A 15,168-nucleotide genomic window follows, 5' to 3' on the forward strand; every position below is an offset into this window, starting at 1 on the left:
TTCATTTCACCTTGCTCCACAAAGTCTTGAAATACATAAAGAAACATTACCTTACAAAATAACAGATCTTCAGGCAAAGTCCTGGTGAATTCTTTGCCAAAGCATCCTTATAGGTAGGGCTGTGGTTAAGGGAAATGGAGACCTCTGTTACAGAAACCAAACGACTTTTCATCTTTGGAAGTATTTGCTGAAACTACCTCCCAAAATATTTTTTCTAAAAAATGAAAATGTGATGCTTTATCTTTCTGGCCAAAGGATAAAAACCAACTTGATGTGTACAGCTGTATGCATATTATTGCCTAGAAAGGCGATGATGGTAATTTTCTCTCCAGCCCACGTCGACCTGGCTTACGGAAGGAAGCAGCAGCACTGCAGAACTAAGAAATGAATCATGTAAAGAGGTCCTGAGACAGGTAACTTATAAAAAGTGAAGAAGGGGCAAATGACTCCTTGCCTGTGCTCAAAAAGCAGCCCCTATGAAGGAAAAATGAAGCAGAAAAAAAAGAAAAAACAGCAGCCCCATTTATCTTTTACAATGTTTCTTTTAACTGATACACATGTATGCAGTGAATTCGAAGAGGAAAAAATACATATTCAATATTCAGATATGTCATGATAATGAAGAACAATAATATGAAAGTTACAATATATACACCTAGAGGATGTCAGTAGACTGACCTCATAGATTGTAACGGCAAGTCAGATAAACCGTGTGAATAATCGAAAACAAAACTGGAGGTCACCTTAAGGATCCTTTTCATTCTGAGCATTCCAAGAATATGAAAGAATAGCAAGATCTCATCAAGTTCACATGTCTTTAAAGATAAATGGAAAAAAATATTCATCTATTTTAAGAGTCAAAGAGATGAGAACTCCAATGCAGTGATGAGCCCGAATAGGTCCTGCCATTTCCCATCAACAGACTGAGGCATCAGGCTATGTGGGCTCTGTGCCCGCCCGTAAAGGCCATGCCTTGTTTTCCTTCTAAAAGCTGTGCATAATGACTACAATATAGGGTTCAGTGAATTCCAGCTGGGCCCATGAGAGGAATCCAGTGAACAACCCAGCAAACATTTTAATTAACTGGGACAGGACTGGTCTTCCTTCTGTGGGTGTATATATTTTAACCTTTGGAAAATTTAGAGTTAAATAAAGAAAAGCAAAAGAGAGTCAAAGTCATAGTACTGATCTTTTTTGTCAGGAAGGAGATCTGTGCATTTTGAAATTGTATATGCTTGTAATGTTTAAAAGCATATTAGAATGATAGCCTTGAAACTTCAATTTGCAATATATAATTAAGTGCTTTACACTTGTGGTTTTAAATTGAAACCTTATTAAGTTTATGCATAGCTTTGGAACATCTAAGATAATGATAGCTTTACTGTTTATAAATTTAATCTATTAGAGTTATAAAAAACTATTTAGAATTCAGGGAGGTATCTGAAGCACTTAAAAATTATCTAAGATATAAAATGCAGAACTGTAGTTTAAAATCATTGGGAATATTTAATTAACATTATTCAAATTAACGAAACATTTTTCAAAGTCCCTTAAAAATGCTTGCTGAAACATGCTAGACTTATGGAAACAGTAAGATTTGCAAGCTAAACTTGAAACCCTAAACAAGAACTATGGTTATAAAATTTGTAATTTTAATAAAATGACTTCTAGTTTTAAAAATTAAATTTTAATACATATACTGCCTATAAAATCTGCCCTTTAGATCAGAGCACCAAAACAAAACAAAAACCCAAAAAACCCTACACATCAACAAAGGTAATTGACATAAAAATAAGTGCAGGGAACTGGCAAACTTCATGAAGTAGAAAGTTTTTATGCCTGCCTTTCTTTGGGTGGAAAAGTAGAAGTGAGAATGAGATGGCTTTATGTTTCTTTATGCCACATCACTAAGAAAATGCATCACTTCAATGCAAAGAGATTCAGGCAAAAGGCACATAGATAAATACCTCTCAGATTCTATATTTTTATCATTTGTTCTACTTGTTGAAATTTTTATTCTTCCATTTTAAAGGGGAAGGCACAAAAACCACACTTCTGTTTTAAAGCTAAGTAGATACATTAAATCGACATGGTGACTTTTACCGTGTCATTCACCTTCTCCCAGTGGCTCCTTATCCTTCCCTTCAAAAGTATATTCTGACAGTGCACGTTGGCTGCATGTGGTGCAGCGTCAGTGTTGTAAATCCAGTCAGTCTACACGTGAGTGCTGAGCCTGGGCATCATTCAGAGGTCCTTAGAGCCCCTATGCCATGGCAAAGGCTGCCCCCCACAGGGAGCAGGGCACCCTCTTTCTCACTTCATTCAGGAGCTGAAGCAAACACCAGCACATGCAGGCTAAATAGTAAGAGGCTCAGGCATCTGCTGATCTTGGTAAACTTCAGTGTTTGCTGGAACCCTCAGACCCCATACCTTTTTCTTTTCTTCATAGCTAGTACTGTGGCTATAAAGTACCAGTACAGTTCTGACTGTACTTTTCAGGCACCTAAACTATTCAAAGCACATTTTCAAATTTATCCCTCTCTTCTTTTCACAATGGTAATCAGGAGACCATCTGAGCTTATTTAACTAAAAATTCTATTACTTCCAGGTCAGAGAACAGGGAAACTAAGCGTAAAGAAAGAAAATAATTTTGCCTTCAATGTTTAACCTGGCTTTCATTACAGGAGTATTATTTCATACTCTCAGAATCCCTTTCCCTACCCCAGGTTACATCTTCACCTGAGCAAAGCCCAGATATCACAGGTAAAAGTTCTTGTAAATATAAAAAGTATCCCAATGTTTGCACCCATAGTAATGCAACATTTATTGTGTCCTACCATGAAACAGCCACTAAACTAAGTTCTAGATACAAAGATAAATAAGCCTTGCTCCCTGCCCTTGAAAGACAGAGTCTAGCGGGGGAGACGACACACAAATAGGTAAGTTACAGTGTACATACTTTTAAAATACAAAAATATATCTTTCTTAATTTGTAATTCAATCAATTTTTCAGTACCCTTGCAATCTTTTATATTATTAACCAAATTGAAATCACAGCAGCTAGACACAAACGTTCTGTACTTTACTTGAAACGGTCATCTATAAAGACCAGAGTACATAGGCACTACATTGCAAAACGGACTGAAGTTTAGGTAGATACATTTATTTAGCTAACAGAATAAAAACACTTCACACTTTCTGTGAGTTTTTCAATGCAGATTACATCCAGGCCAGAGATATGAGAAACGCACTTTGACTTAAGCAGTACAAAACTAAAATCAAAGGAATTAAATAGATTGTCAATCAATAATACTATTTTAAAACATTAGAAGTATTTTTAAAAGGGGAGAAGGGCTGGAAAAGTCTAGAAAAGCTTCCCAGAAGGGTCTTGAAAGAGCTTCTAAACAAAGAGGGTAGAAAGGCTTTCAAGGCACAGGAATGATAAAAGGCCCCATTACATCCAGTATATTGAGAAGTTCAGTGAGGAAGGGAAAGGGTTTCTCAGAGAGCTACGGAATGAAGCAGGAAAAACTCGCTGGGAACAGACTGAGGAGGCCCTTTTGCTGGCAAGCTAAGGAGTTGACATTAACTCCGTAGTCTGCAGAGGCTCAGAAACAATGGCCTGCCCAATTTGCTTTGTAGGAAAGAATTTCAAGGGTAGCTACCATGAGACGGGGTAGGCGGACCATGTAGATACAAAGACTGGAGTGGGACAGTGGTTCAGGAGAGAGACCACGGAGACATGAACTAAGGCATGGTATGGGAATGGAGAGCAGAGACCAGATAAGAGTCATTTCTGAAGTAGAAACCCTAGGATCAGGTGACAGACTGTAGGAGGTGAAAGCAGGGGAGAAGTCAAGAGTGCTTCTGATGTTACTGGTTTAGGCAAGAATAGATACTAACACTATTAACTGAAATTGACCATGAAAATACAGTCATGTGCTGCATAACATTTTGGTCCATGACGGACCACATATATGACAGTGGTCCCATGAGATTACAATGAAGTTGAAAAATTCCTATTGCCTCATCCTGTCTTCATAATCCTGACCCAATATAGGCCTAGGCTACTGTGTATACTTGTGTCTTAGATTTTGACAACAAAGTTTAAAAAGTTAATAAACATTAAACATTTTTAAAACAGAAAGAAGCTTACAGAAGAATATAAAGAAAATATTTTTACACAGCTGTACACTGTGTAGAGTCAAAGTTTTAAAAATTAAGTTTATAACATAAAGTCACAGTAAGCTAAATTATTATTGAAGAAAGAAAAATATTTTTTATCAATTTAGTATAGCCTAAGTATATAGTGTTTATAAAACCTACAGTTATGTACAGTAATGTCCTAGGCCTTCACATTCACTCACCACTCACCCCTGACTACCCAGAGCAACTTCCAGTCCTGCAAGCTCCATTCATGGTAAGTGCCCCCCTATACATATCATTTTTTAATCTTTTATACCATATTTTTACTGTACTTTTTCTATGTTTAGATATATAAATACTTACCATGTGCTACAACCACCTACAGTATTCAGTACAGTAACCTGCTGTACAGGTTTGTAGCCTAGGAGCAACAGGCTGTACCGTCTAGCCTAGAAGTGTAGCAGGCTATGCCATCTAGGTTTGTGTAAGTACACTCTATGGTGTTCACACAATGACAGAGTCGCCCAATGATGTATTTCTCAGAATGTGTCTTAGGCAAAACAAGGCTGTACTGGTGTCGAAGCAGAATTAATGAGGTAGTGGCTGTGGGTGGGGACAGTGGGCTAATGCATATATTAAAGTCTTAAGTGTTAGCAGGACAAACTGGTATAAACCTAAGAAAAATGGTTTAGGTTAGATGGCTGGGTGCCGTGGCTCATGCCTGGAATCCCAGTACTTTGGGAGGCTGAGGTGGGAGGATGACTTGATGCCAGGAGTTTGAGACCAGACTAGGCAATATAGTGAGACCCCTCTCCCCGCACCAATTTCCAAAAAAAAAAGGAAAGGTTTAAGTTAGAGAAATCCAGACTTGAAAGTCACCATCAGCACAGAAGAATGGTGGAAACAGTGGTAGGAATTCTGGTGAGAAATCACCCACAGAAAGGAAGCTGAGTAAGAGGAAAACCAGGACATTACACCATATGTAAGCAGAGCTCGAAGAAGCCTCTAGATGAAAAGCTGGAGAAGGCCCAACCCAAGAGGTAGGAAAGCCAGGAGGGTGTCGTTCCGGGAGCCTTGGAGGGAGAGCTGGGAGGAGAACGGGGTTGTCAGTCATGCCTAATGCTTCTGGGGGTCAATGGAAACAAGGATGAGAAAAAGCCATTGGGCTTTGCAATCAGGAGGTTACTGGTGACATCAGAGGAAAGTTCGAATACTGGGGGCCAACTTCACACAGTTACGAAGTGAGGAGTAGTAAAGAGATTGGAGATAGTGAGTGTAGACTATTTTAAGACGCTTTCACATCAAATTTTTAACCCTAACAATGGAATGAAGGGGAGGTAGGGTTAAGAGTTGATTTTTAGATGAGGAGACTTGAATGTGTTTTAGGCTGAGGGGCAGGTGCCATTGAAGAGGTAGAGTTTAAAAGTATAGGAGGGGTGATAGCTGGTGGAGTAAGATTCTGTGAGAAGTACGAGGGACCATGGGAAAGGGAGGGGGGGTCTGCCCCAATATGTAGGCAGCCAGTAGTGCACTAAGGGCAGGAACCCCGAGGTACAATTTTCTTTCTTTTTTTTTTTTTTTGAGACAGAGTCTCACTTCATTGCCCAGGCTGGAGTGCAGTGGTGTGATCTCAGCTCACTGCAACCTCCACTTCCCAGGTTCAAGTGATTCTCCTGCCTCAGCCTCATGAGTAGCTGGAATTACAGGCATATGTCACCATGCCCGGCTAATTTTCATATTTTTAGTAGAGATGGGGTTTCACCATGTTGGCCAGGCTGGTCTCAAACTCCTGACCTTAAGTGATCTGCCCACTTTGGCCTTCCAAAGTGCTGGGATTACAGATGTGAGCTACTGTGCCCAGACACCCCAGGAACAATTTAGTCCCTAGGCCAACAAATAAGTTTTTAGGGAGGAATATTTAATCACTGACATTGTTTATAATCACTGGTACATGAAATTAATAAAAAGTAGACACTGAGTTGGTTTCATGATGGTTTAAAATTCTCTGCAGAAGAGGCACCCACTTATTACCTGCACCTCTTATTTATGTGCACTTCTCGCAATGCTCCCCCACTTTGTGTGCTACTGGAAAACACCTCCTTTGAGATGAGAGGTAAAGACTCATGAGTAGGTATAGAGAAGGGATTCAGTCCTGATGGTTTTTATTTTTTCTGTGTGCTGTAAGATGAAACGCGGGGAATTAGGAGAGTGGAAAAGTGTTAGAGCAGCTACAAGTCATGACACAGTACCAGGGACCTGCGCCTTGGGTGCTAAACGGTCTCACTCCGCCTACAACTCTTCTTTTGTGGGGGCTGCTGCTTACAGTGTCATCAGTGAGAAAAAGCAAGCAGGAGCTTTCTCCTCCCTACTTGATTCATATCCCGTAATAAGGTTAAAGTCCAGCAGGTTTTGCTTGGCACATAGTCAGTCCTCCTGCCTGAAGCAATAAGGCACCAGCAGATTCTCCAGATGCTGTGGCACTGGGAATCTTTCTTCAGAACCTGGAGAAAGTTGAAGAATTGGACAGGAAGGCCAGAAAGAAATTTATCCTTGAGTCATGCTTGCACCTTTGTCAATTTGCACAGGATGAATATCTATTTTGCACACTCTACAGAAAAAATATTTTTTACTATTAAGAGCCTGAAGATTGTGCTTGCATATTGATTTCTTTGACCACCCCCCAGAGCAATCAGCATCAATAACATTGCCCCACCCAACAGAGGATACATGAACACACCCCCAACACATGCACCCATACCCCTGAAAGGACATATGAACCTATTTGCCACTCAGGGTTATTCCAAACCAATAAAAATAAAAGCATACTTCAAATTTCAAGCTACTTTTTGGGTGGATCCCATTTTGGGATTGCCAGTCACTATGTTAAAGGATATAGGGTGATAACTTTTTGGAGCAGTTCTGCAGAGGAGATGACAATTCGGTGCATGGTCAGCATGACTTGCAACAGTTGGTTACTTCGACACAGGTTTCCATCTGCATCTGAAAATATAAAGAGCAGCACCTGAGTTAGGCCCTGGAGGGAAACTAGTCACCTGGTAGACACCTGCAAACCCTCTGTGACTCAGGTGCAATCCTTCAGGCACAGTGATTTTCTTCCACTGCCCCTAGCACAGCCCCCCTCTGTTTTTCTCATCCTCCTGCTACATTCTTCCCTTGCAGAATGTCCATTTTGATGCTCATTAACTACCCCTTTTCCTCTCCACAGTGGTAAAATCGGGAAAGGGATAAAATCTGCATCAGCACACTTGAGTCTCACTGAAAGCAGAAGCAGATCCAGGTTTTGTGGGGCCTAAAGTTCATATAACTGGTTGGGGGGTGGGCAGGGAGAGAATTCTCTGGGGTCAGAGTGAGAAAAGTTGGTTTTTAATAGATTGCAGTTAAAATATCTTACCTTTACAAATTTTACAAAAACAAATGACCATATGAATACATTTCTAGGGCCGTCCCATGGCCTTGGAAGGGGCTCATGCAAGTGAGGAGCCCTGAAATATATGCTTCTCCAGTTTTATGGTTAATATGCCTCTGGATGGAAATAAAAGAAGACTATGGGCAAACATTACATTTTAAGATTGCAAGTGGATTACAAGTACTCATGATGATTTGTATTAAAGAACATGGTTAGCTAGGTTTTCTAAATCCCAGCTGGCACAAAATAATAAGATGCATTTATACACTGGCATTGGGTAAAAAGATTCCCCTTGGAGTGGTTTTCAAAATCTTTTCAACATTTATGGCATGAAGTGTTAGGAGCTCTGCTGGTTATTCTCTGCCAGATCTATTCTTTCACCATGAAAAATATCAGCCCACTCACTTGCCAGCTGGCTTCCAGTTGGGTTTAGCCATTGGGAAGCACCAGCAAGAGACTGGGAGTGGAGGGAAGTCAGGATATTTGTTTTTCATTCCCTCTCTGCATTGACACCACTCCCCTGACAGTGACTACATATCTTTTCAATGAATGATCATGCTGGTTGGTCCTCCCTTCATGGCACCAGCTCTCGTTGGATCTAATACTATTAATCTCCTTTGGCCCCCTGGCCCCAAGGGTGGTAATGACTCCTGAGTGTTGATAGTTTCTGGATACATCTCTTAATTCCACTCTCATCTCTGTAAATAGTCCCTTCATTACAATGTCTTCATTTATACGAACTGAATTCTGTTCCAGACTGGGAACTTCAATTATTCAAGGCAAGAGTATCAAATGAAAGAATATACATGAATTGTTTTGTCATCTGTATTGCTCTTTATATTAAAGGGGTTATCATGTTCACTCTGCTTCAAATGTACCAAATGGTAAATGAAGGACACAGTGCTTTTGGGCTCAGGATTCAGAAGTCTTGGCTCCTCAAACGACGATCTAAAGTCATATCTCATTGAGAAAATATAAGTGGCTGGGCACAGTGGCTCATGCTTGTAATCCCAGTGCTTTGGGAGGTCAAGGTGGGAGGATCGCTTGAGGTCAGGAGTTTGAGGCTGCAGTGAGCTATGATAACATCACTGCACTCTGTCTGGGTGACAGAGCATGAGCCCATCTCAATAATTAAAGTGTATATATTAAAATGTATATATATATGTATATGTAAACTGACAGTGTCTTTCATCTTCCCATCCCCAAATCCACCATTTCACTGGTACTCTGTTGCCCTTATCCCCTGCCCTCTCCTGTTAGCATGGAAGGCCAACACTTCACTGTGCTCTGGGTCTCCCCCTTTCTCAAGGACGTTGATCCTGCATTTGTCCATTTTCTCTCCCACAATATCAACTTTTCTCTCTGTGGGTTTATTTCCATTGTCATTGAAATATGCCTCTGCATCTCCAATTCAAAACCAAATAAAACAAAACCTTAAACTCTCATCCTCTCTAGCTACTTATTTCTCTATTCCCATTTTTAGCAAAACCTCACTGTTATCAGTTTCTTTTCTCCCATTTACTTTTCAATCATTCCATTTGACTTCTGTGTCCATTATTCCACTAAATCTTTTATTTTTCAAAGTTACCAATCAGCTCCACACTGCCAAATCCAGCAGTTACTCCTTGATCCTTATCTTACTTTATGACTCAGTAGCATTCAACCCAACACAACCCAAGTTGATGACTCTCTTTCCTGGAACACTTTCTTCTCTTGGCTTCCATAGCATCACACTCTCTCAGCCTCTCTCTCAGGCTCTTCTTCTGTCTCCTCTTTTTCTGCTAAGCTTTTAAATGTCAGCATGCTCTGTGGTTGAGTCCTCCCGCTTTTTCTTTTATTTATTTTTTGACAGTTTTTAAAATTTAAAACTTCTTAAATTTTAAATTAAAAATAAAACACTTTCACTACTATTTTCTAGATGAACTCATTTAGTCTCTTGGCTAAAATACCATCTATATGCTGATGACTGCCCAACTGGTATCTTCAGCCTTCGCTACCCAATTAGTATGTCCAGCAGCCTACCTGGCAAATCCAATTCAACGTCTAAGTTCAGACTTAACTCATTCAAACAAAACTCCTGATCTCTCCCTCCCCTGAGTTCATTGTTCCTCGCATCTGCCTCATCTCCAGAAATGGCACCACCAACCATCCTCTCAGTTACCCCAACTAAAAACCTAGCCATTATCCTTTATTTCTCATGTTCCTTCACATCCAATCCATCAGGAAGTCTTGATTCTACCTCCAATATATATCTCAAACCTGTTCATTTCTCTCCATCCTTGGCCTCACCCTAGTTGTAGCCACCATGATGCAATGACTTAATCGACCTCCTTGCTTCCACTCTTGTCCACCTACAATCTATTCCCTATACAGAAGTCAGGACAAACTCCTAAAACCTATAAATCAAGTCATGCACTTAGTACACTTCAGTGGATTCCATTCCACTTGGAATAAAACGGACTCCTTACTGTGGCCAAAAAAGCACTACATGTCCTGGCCTCTTTAAATATCATCCACTTCATTTCATACCACATTGCTCCTCTCCACACCTCTAATTGTACCTCAAACACTCCCAGCTTATTCCTACCTCAGGGCCTTTGCATTTGCTATTTTCTTCAATGTAGTCTTTCTTCCCTTGAATTACTGATGTCATTTTGGTCTTAGTTTCAATGTCACATCCTCAGAGAAGTCTTTTCTAAACTACCTAAGGTATTCCTTACCCTGCCTGAGTTTTCTCATGGTACTTACCATTATCTGAAGTTATCTGCTTTATTTATTTAATTTTTTATTTTCTAAATCTCCAGTAGAATACAAGTTTCATGAGACCTGGGCCTTGTCCACTTTTTCCACAACTATATTTCCAGGGCCTAGAATGGTACTGACACATGATTCATTCAACATTTCTTGAGTAAATGAGTGAACTATATCGAATAGGAAACACGTTAACTTTTCACAGATATTTAGAAATTGAGTTTGCTTTCGTCATTACCTATTTCATTCGTGAAATGTAATATACACATTTATCTTCTTCCTGGTCACAGTTTGCAAAAGAAATTCAAAGTTACAATTTGGTAAATCATTTTTAAAAAGTGTTCATCTAGCTTGGTTATAGTTTTGTAAATCTTTCATTAATTCTTCTAAACTTGTACTCTGTCCAGGTAGGGTTAGTATTACTTTATGTTTTCTGGCCCCACATAATTTCCATAATAATTATTTCTTGCCACAAAAATTCTGCATAACCAACCACCCCAAAACTCAGTGCCTTAAAACAGTAATCACTTACTTTTGCTCAAGTTTCTGTGAGTTGGTTACAATCAGCTAGTGCAGGCTGGGTGCTGCTGGGGGCCCTAGCCTACATGCCTCCCTGCTTCCTTGGGCCAGTAGGCTAGTGGGGGTAGGTTATCTCATGATGATGGCAGAACACTGAAGAGTAACTGGAAATACCCAGGGCCTCTGAAGCCTAGGTTTGGAGCTGGCGTGCTGTTTCTTCTGACTCATTCTGTTGGCCAAAGCAAGTCACACTACTGAATATAAAGTCAAAGGGCAGGAACTGCAAAGTCACATGGAACATAGCACTGACATAGAGAAGGTAAAAAGTCAGGGGGCAATAATGCAATCAAACCTACCACAATTACAAGGGGTGGCTTTTCAATGCAGCATTTGACAATACAGTCTTTACAGTGTACCCTTCCTCACAGGTAGCAGTGTTCATATTCCTGAACACTCTGGTGAAACTACAGTGAAAAGAAGGAACTGTGACATATACTTGTAGGGTATGCATTAGAATGTTCACAAGAACCATGGACAAAAGCCAGCTTATTCAGTATGGATGGCATCTAAAACTTGCCATCTCAACTTTCCTTTATGGCTGGTTAGCATCTTCCCATAGATACTCATATGTGAGGAAAAGGGACTTAGACGTGTCCTGGGTGAGATCAAAACTAAGTCACCTATGGAAGGATTCCAGGAACTAAAGGGTTTACCATGAAGAAAACTTGGGGAAGAGATTAAAATTGTCTTCAAATATCTGAAGTGTTCTTTGTGGGAGTTGGTTTAGACTTGTTCTATGGGGCCACAAAAGGCAGCACCAGAGTAGATGGATAGAAATTATAGGAAATAGGATTGGGCACAACATGTGGCAGAAAATTCTAGCCATCAGCACTGTCTAATGATGGAAGCATTGCCATCACAGAGATATTAAAAAAGAGCCTGAAGAGCAACACTTAATAAGCATTATTGTAATTAGCATAGCAGCTATCATTTATTGAAGCCCTACTAAATACCAGGAGCTGTGCTAAACACTTTAACCATGTTCTAACTCTCAACAACAAGCATTGTTCACAACTCACAGCTGAGGAAATCAAAGCATAGAGAGATTAGGTAATTTGTTCTAGGTCAAAGGGACAATGGGTGGAGGAGCTGGGACCTGGCCCAAGGTCTGTCTGATTCCAGAGCCCCTTCTCTTTCCACTATACCTGGCTGCATGCTGAATCACCATTCGTCAGGATAAGGAATTCAAGAATAAAGTGGGAGCTGAGCTTTACGAACTCTTCCAGTCCTTATGGCTACAAGTCTAAGAAATCTCACTAAGGTCACAGCCACTGCACATTTCGTGAAATAGCTTTTGTACTCTGGTGATTTCTGAAAAACTCTTGTGAACTTTGGTTGATGGATACTAATCTTAAAAATTGCCTTTAAGAACTCAGGGTTCTGTGCTTAAGATTCACAATCATATTCACACTTCACCTTTACCTTGCACTGCTTTTCCACAGTTTCAGTGACGTTCCCAAAGTACGGCTTGTTAATCCTCACATGGTCTCTGTGGGAGTGAGTGCTGGCAAATGGTAAGGCTGGCAGAGGATGACTCACTCAGCCAAGGGAGGCAGAGATGTGGTTAGGGAAAGAGCAGACAGAAACACTCTCTCTCTACACCCAGTCCAGAACTCCGAGGTAACTCCTCTCCAGTCCTGGTTCTACTTTTCAACGAGAGAATGGTTCAGTGTAGTCACTTGCCCTCATTCCCACCACCAGCTCTCCCACACATAAGCTCCAGCTCTATACAACCTCATCAGGGATATGTCCCTTCCTGCCCTCATTCCGTACAGCATGCTCTTCTTCCTTTTTGAACAACCTCATCGGGGATACGTCCCTTCCTGCCCTCATTCTGTACAGCATGCTCTTCTTCCTTTTTGAGAGGAAGAGCCTCCCTTTGAAAGACGAGATTTTCAAAGTGGGTGGTCAAGGAAGATCTACCTTCCAGGCTGCTAGATTTTATTTTCATATTTTGAGATAATTGCTGCAAGCTGATTTAAATATTTCAAAGAATAATTCCATTTTGTTTTCATCTTTAGGCTTTTTAAAATGCAGGGTGTCATACTAAAAATTCTAATAAGTAAAATGTGCAACGCATAATAAAATGTGCGTATTTTTTCATTACCATCTGCTTCTCCTTACACTTACAGGAAAAGACTTCTTTAAAGGGTTGAAGCCTCAGTGGGGTACACAATGTTGATCTTACATACTCTGCCATTTGACTAGGGGAGTAATGTAAGCTGCTAGAGAAGCATATTAATTAAAGACTCACTCAACCTGCAGACCACTTGCTCAAGAAAACAGAAAAACTAAGCGGATTCTGGAGAGTCATCTGTCTCTGGGCCAACAGCCTATTTTCCACCGTTAGACTCAGTGCTGGCATCCCATAGTTTATGAGATCACAATCAGGGTGGAAAAGGCTAGCCATCTTCTACCTCTTCTTTCTATCCAAATGCATTATTCCCTCCTAAAACCATCACAGGTAAGTGGTTGTCTGGCCTCTACTTGGACCCCTCCAATGACAGGATATGGCTTCCTAACTATTCTATATAGCAACTGTTCATTCTACTTCAAGTAGAAATAATTTTTGACACCACTAACCAACATTGATAATGAATCTACCCTATGGAAAGCACTGTCCTAGGTACTAAAGGAGATCTGAAGAACCATATGAAAACTGCTGTTATTGCCTGAAATAAGCTCCTTGCCTCTGAGAGAGAAGACCTGCTCCCTGATGATCAGAGTCTCGTGAGAGAAAACTGGCAAAGGGTGGTGATGCAGACCCTGCTCCTTGCTGATAAGAGGTGGGGGCCAGCTTTCCTACAGTGAAGGCTTGTCTGGGGGATGAGATGGAAATGCCTTGCTGCAAGATGAACATGAAACATGAAAACAAACGTCCAGCACCAGGCAGCAACTCCGGAACAGTCACTTCTTCTCCTTTGTTTTGGTTTCCAAGGAAATCTCTTGATGTGTGAAGGTATTTTGAGTGTACCAGAGACAGATCAGCATATGAAGGATAGGCAAGCTGTCAGCATTGAGGGCCTAACATGAAATAACAGGTGTGCCACAACCAGAGGCCAGAGGGTGGTAATGGGAAAGCTAGGATCAGAAAACCTAGGGGCAAGGTTAGAGCAGAGCCTGTGGTAAGGCTGAGGTTGATAATGGAGGTCAGTATCTCCAGAAACATGGTTAGGCTGGGTCTAGGTTGAACCTGGTAGGTATACACACAGAATTCTAAATAAATAACTATGTGATAAATATTCCAAAGAAGTAAAACCTATTTGTCAGCAAGATTATTACATTCATTAAATCCTGTTTGGAGACTGTATAAAAATTGGCAAGCTGAAAATAAGATCAGTAGAGTTTGTTTTCTGGTCGTTGTTTGTTTAGTTTTTTAGAGCGGACGGCAGCAACTTAGGCAGGAAGTGCATGTGAAGAAACAATGTGGTGATACAAACTTTGAACTTGTATACCGTCTATGACCTGAGCCACTTCATACATATCACCAAGGCCACTTTGGTCTCTGTTAGTCCCCAGCCCCTCAAGACTCAGGGGAGGAGAACAATCGGGAGAAAGCAAGTGATCTGCTAAGGATTAAGTCCTGCTTTTCAGGGAAAGTGAGAATCCATTATGGTTGCCACCAGCAGGATGCTTGCAAGAGTTTAATGTAAAGCTCTCCTGGGAGAGAAGTGAGAGGAACCCTGGTTTGTAGTGTTCACGTATTTGCATGGTGTAAATACTTCCACTATGGCCAGTTTCAAGCTACCAACATGAAGTCACTGAACATGCACCTAGGAAGAGATGCTTGCAGTCAGCTCTCAGGACAGGTGTGGGCCACCTCCAGCATGCACCCACAGCAGCTGCAAGCCTCCTCAAGAGGGCTGGTGCTTGCTGGGCTTCCTTTTGTATTCCTTCCTGTCTGGTTTCCTTGCTCCCCAGGTGTTCCTGAACCCATTCCACTCCTCATCTCACTCCTAATCTCATGCCCTCTGGGCCTTGCCCAATGACTGGACAGTTAATCCAGATCAACAAATTCCTCTGCAGGAGACAAGGACTTCAAGGGTGAATCCTCTCAGAGAAATCCACATTGCAACAGCAGTTTCTTGAAGTGGTTGGTGCTCTAAACCAAGAACAAAAATGTTAATATAAGGTGAGAATTTGGGAGAAGGGAAGCTCAGTTCCTTGTAAAGCTTGTCCTGTTCTTCTTTCTGGGATAACCTGGTATGTCATACCCTGGCCCACATAGGACAGCCTGCCATATAGTTAGACTAGTGTCTATTTCT

The 15,168-nt window shown here is 40.9% G+C and overlaps 1 protein-coding gene across 9 annotated transcripts in view, besides 1 other annotated feature; it reads right to left on the reverse strand.

Annotated features, from left to right (window-relative positions):
- The window catches only part of RASGRP1 (RAS guanyl releasing protein 1), a 76,712-nt gene that overhangs the window by 31,156 nt on the left and 30,388 nt on the right, over window positions 1-15,168 (reverse strand). For all 9 annotated transcript variants that reach the window (NM_001306086.2, NM_001128602.2, NM_005739.4 and 6 more), the window contains 2 exons: window positions 7,041-7,146; window positions 51-113 (listed from right to left, as the gene is read on the reverse strand). In NM_001306086.2, the coding sequence (NP_001293015.1) occupies window positions 51-113; window positions 7,041-7,146 (169 nt within the window). The remainder of the gene's footprint in view (window positions 1-50; window positions 114-7,040; window positions 7,147-15,168) is intronic.
- Window positions 11,095-11,154: an enhancer, noted in NCBI's record as "active region_9204". NCBI's record gives its function as "activates an Ori minimal core promoter by ATAC-STARR-seq in GM12878 lymphoblastoid cells {active_cell/tissue: GM12878}" and the evidence as "EXISTENCE:reporter gene assay evidence [ECO:0000049][PMID:35858748]".

This window comes from Homo sapiens, chromosome 15 (genome assembly GCF_000001405.40).
Source record: "Homo sapiens chromosome 15, GRCh38.p14 Primary Assembly".
In the NCBI taxonomy this organism is placed as follows: Eukaryota; Metazoa; Chordata; class Mammalia; order Primates; family Hominidae; genus Homo; species Homo sapiens.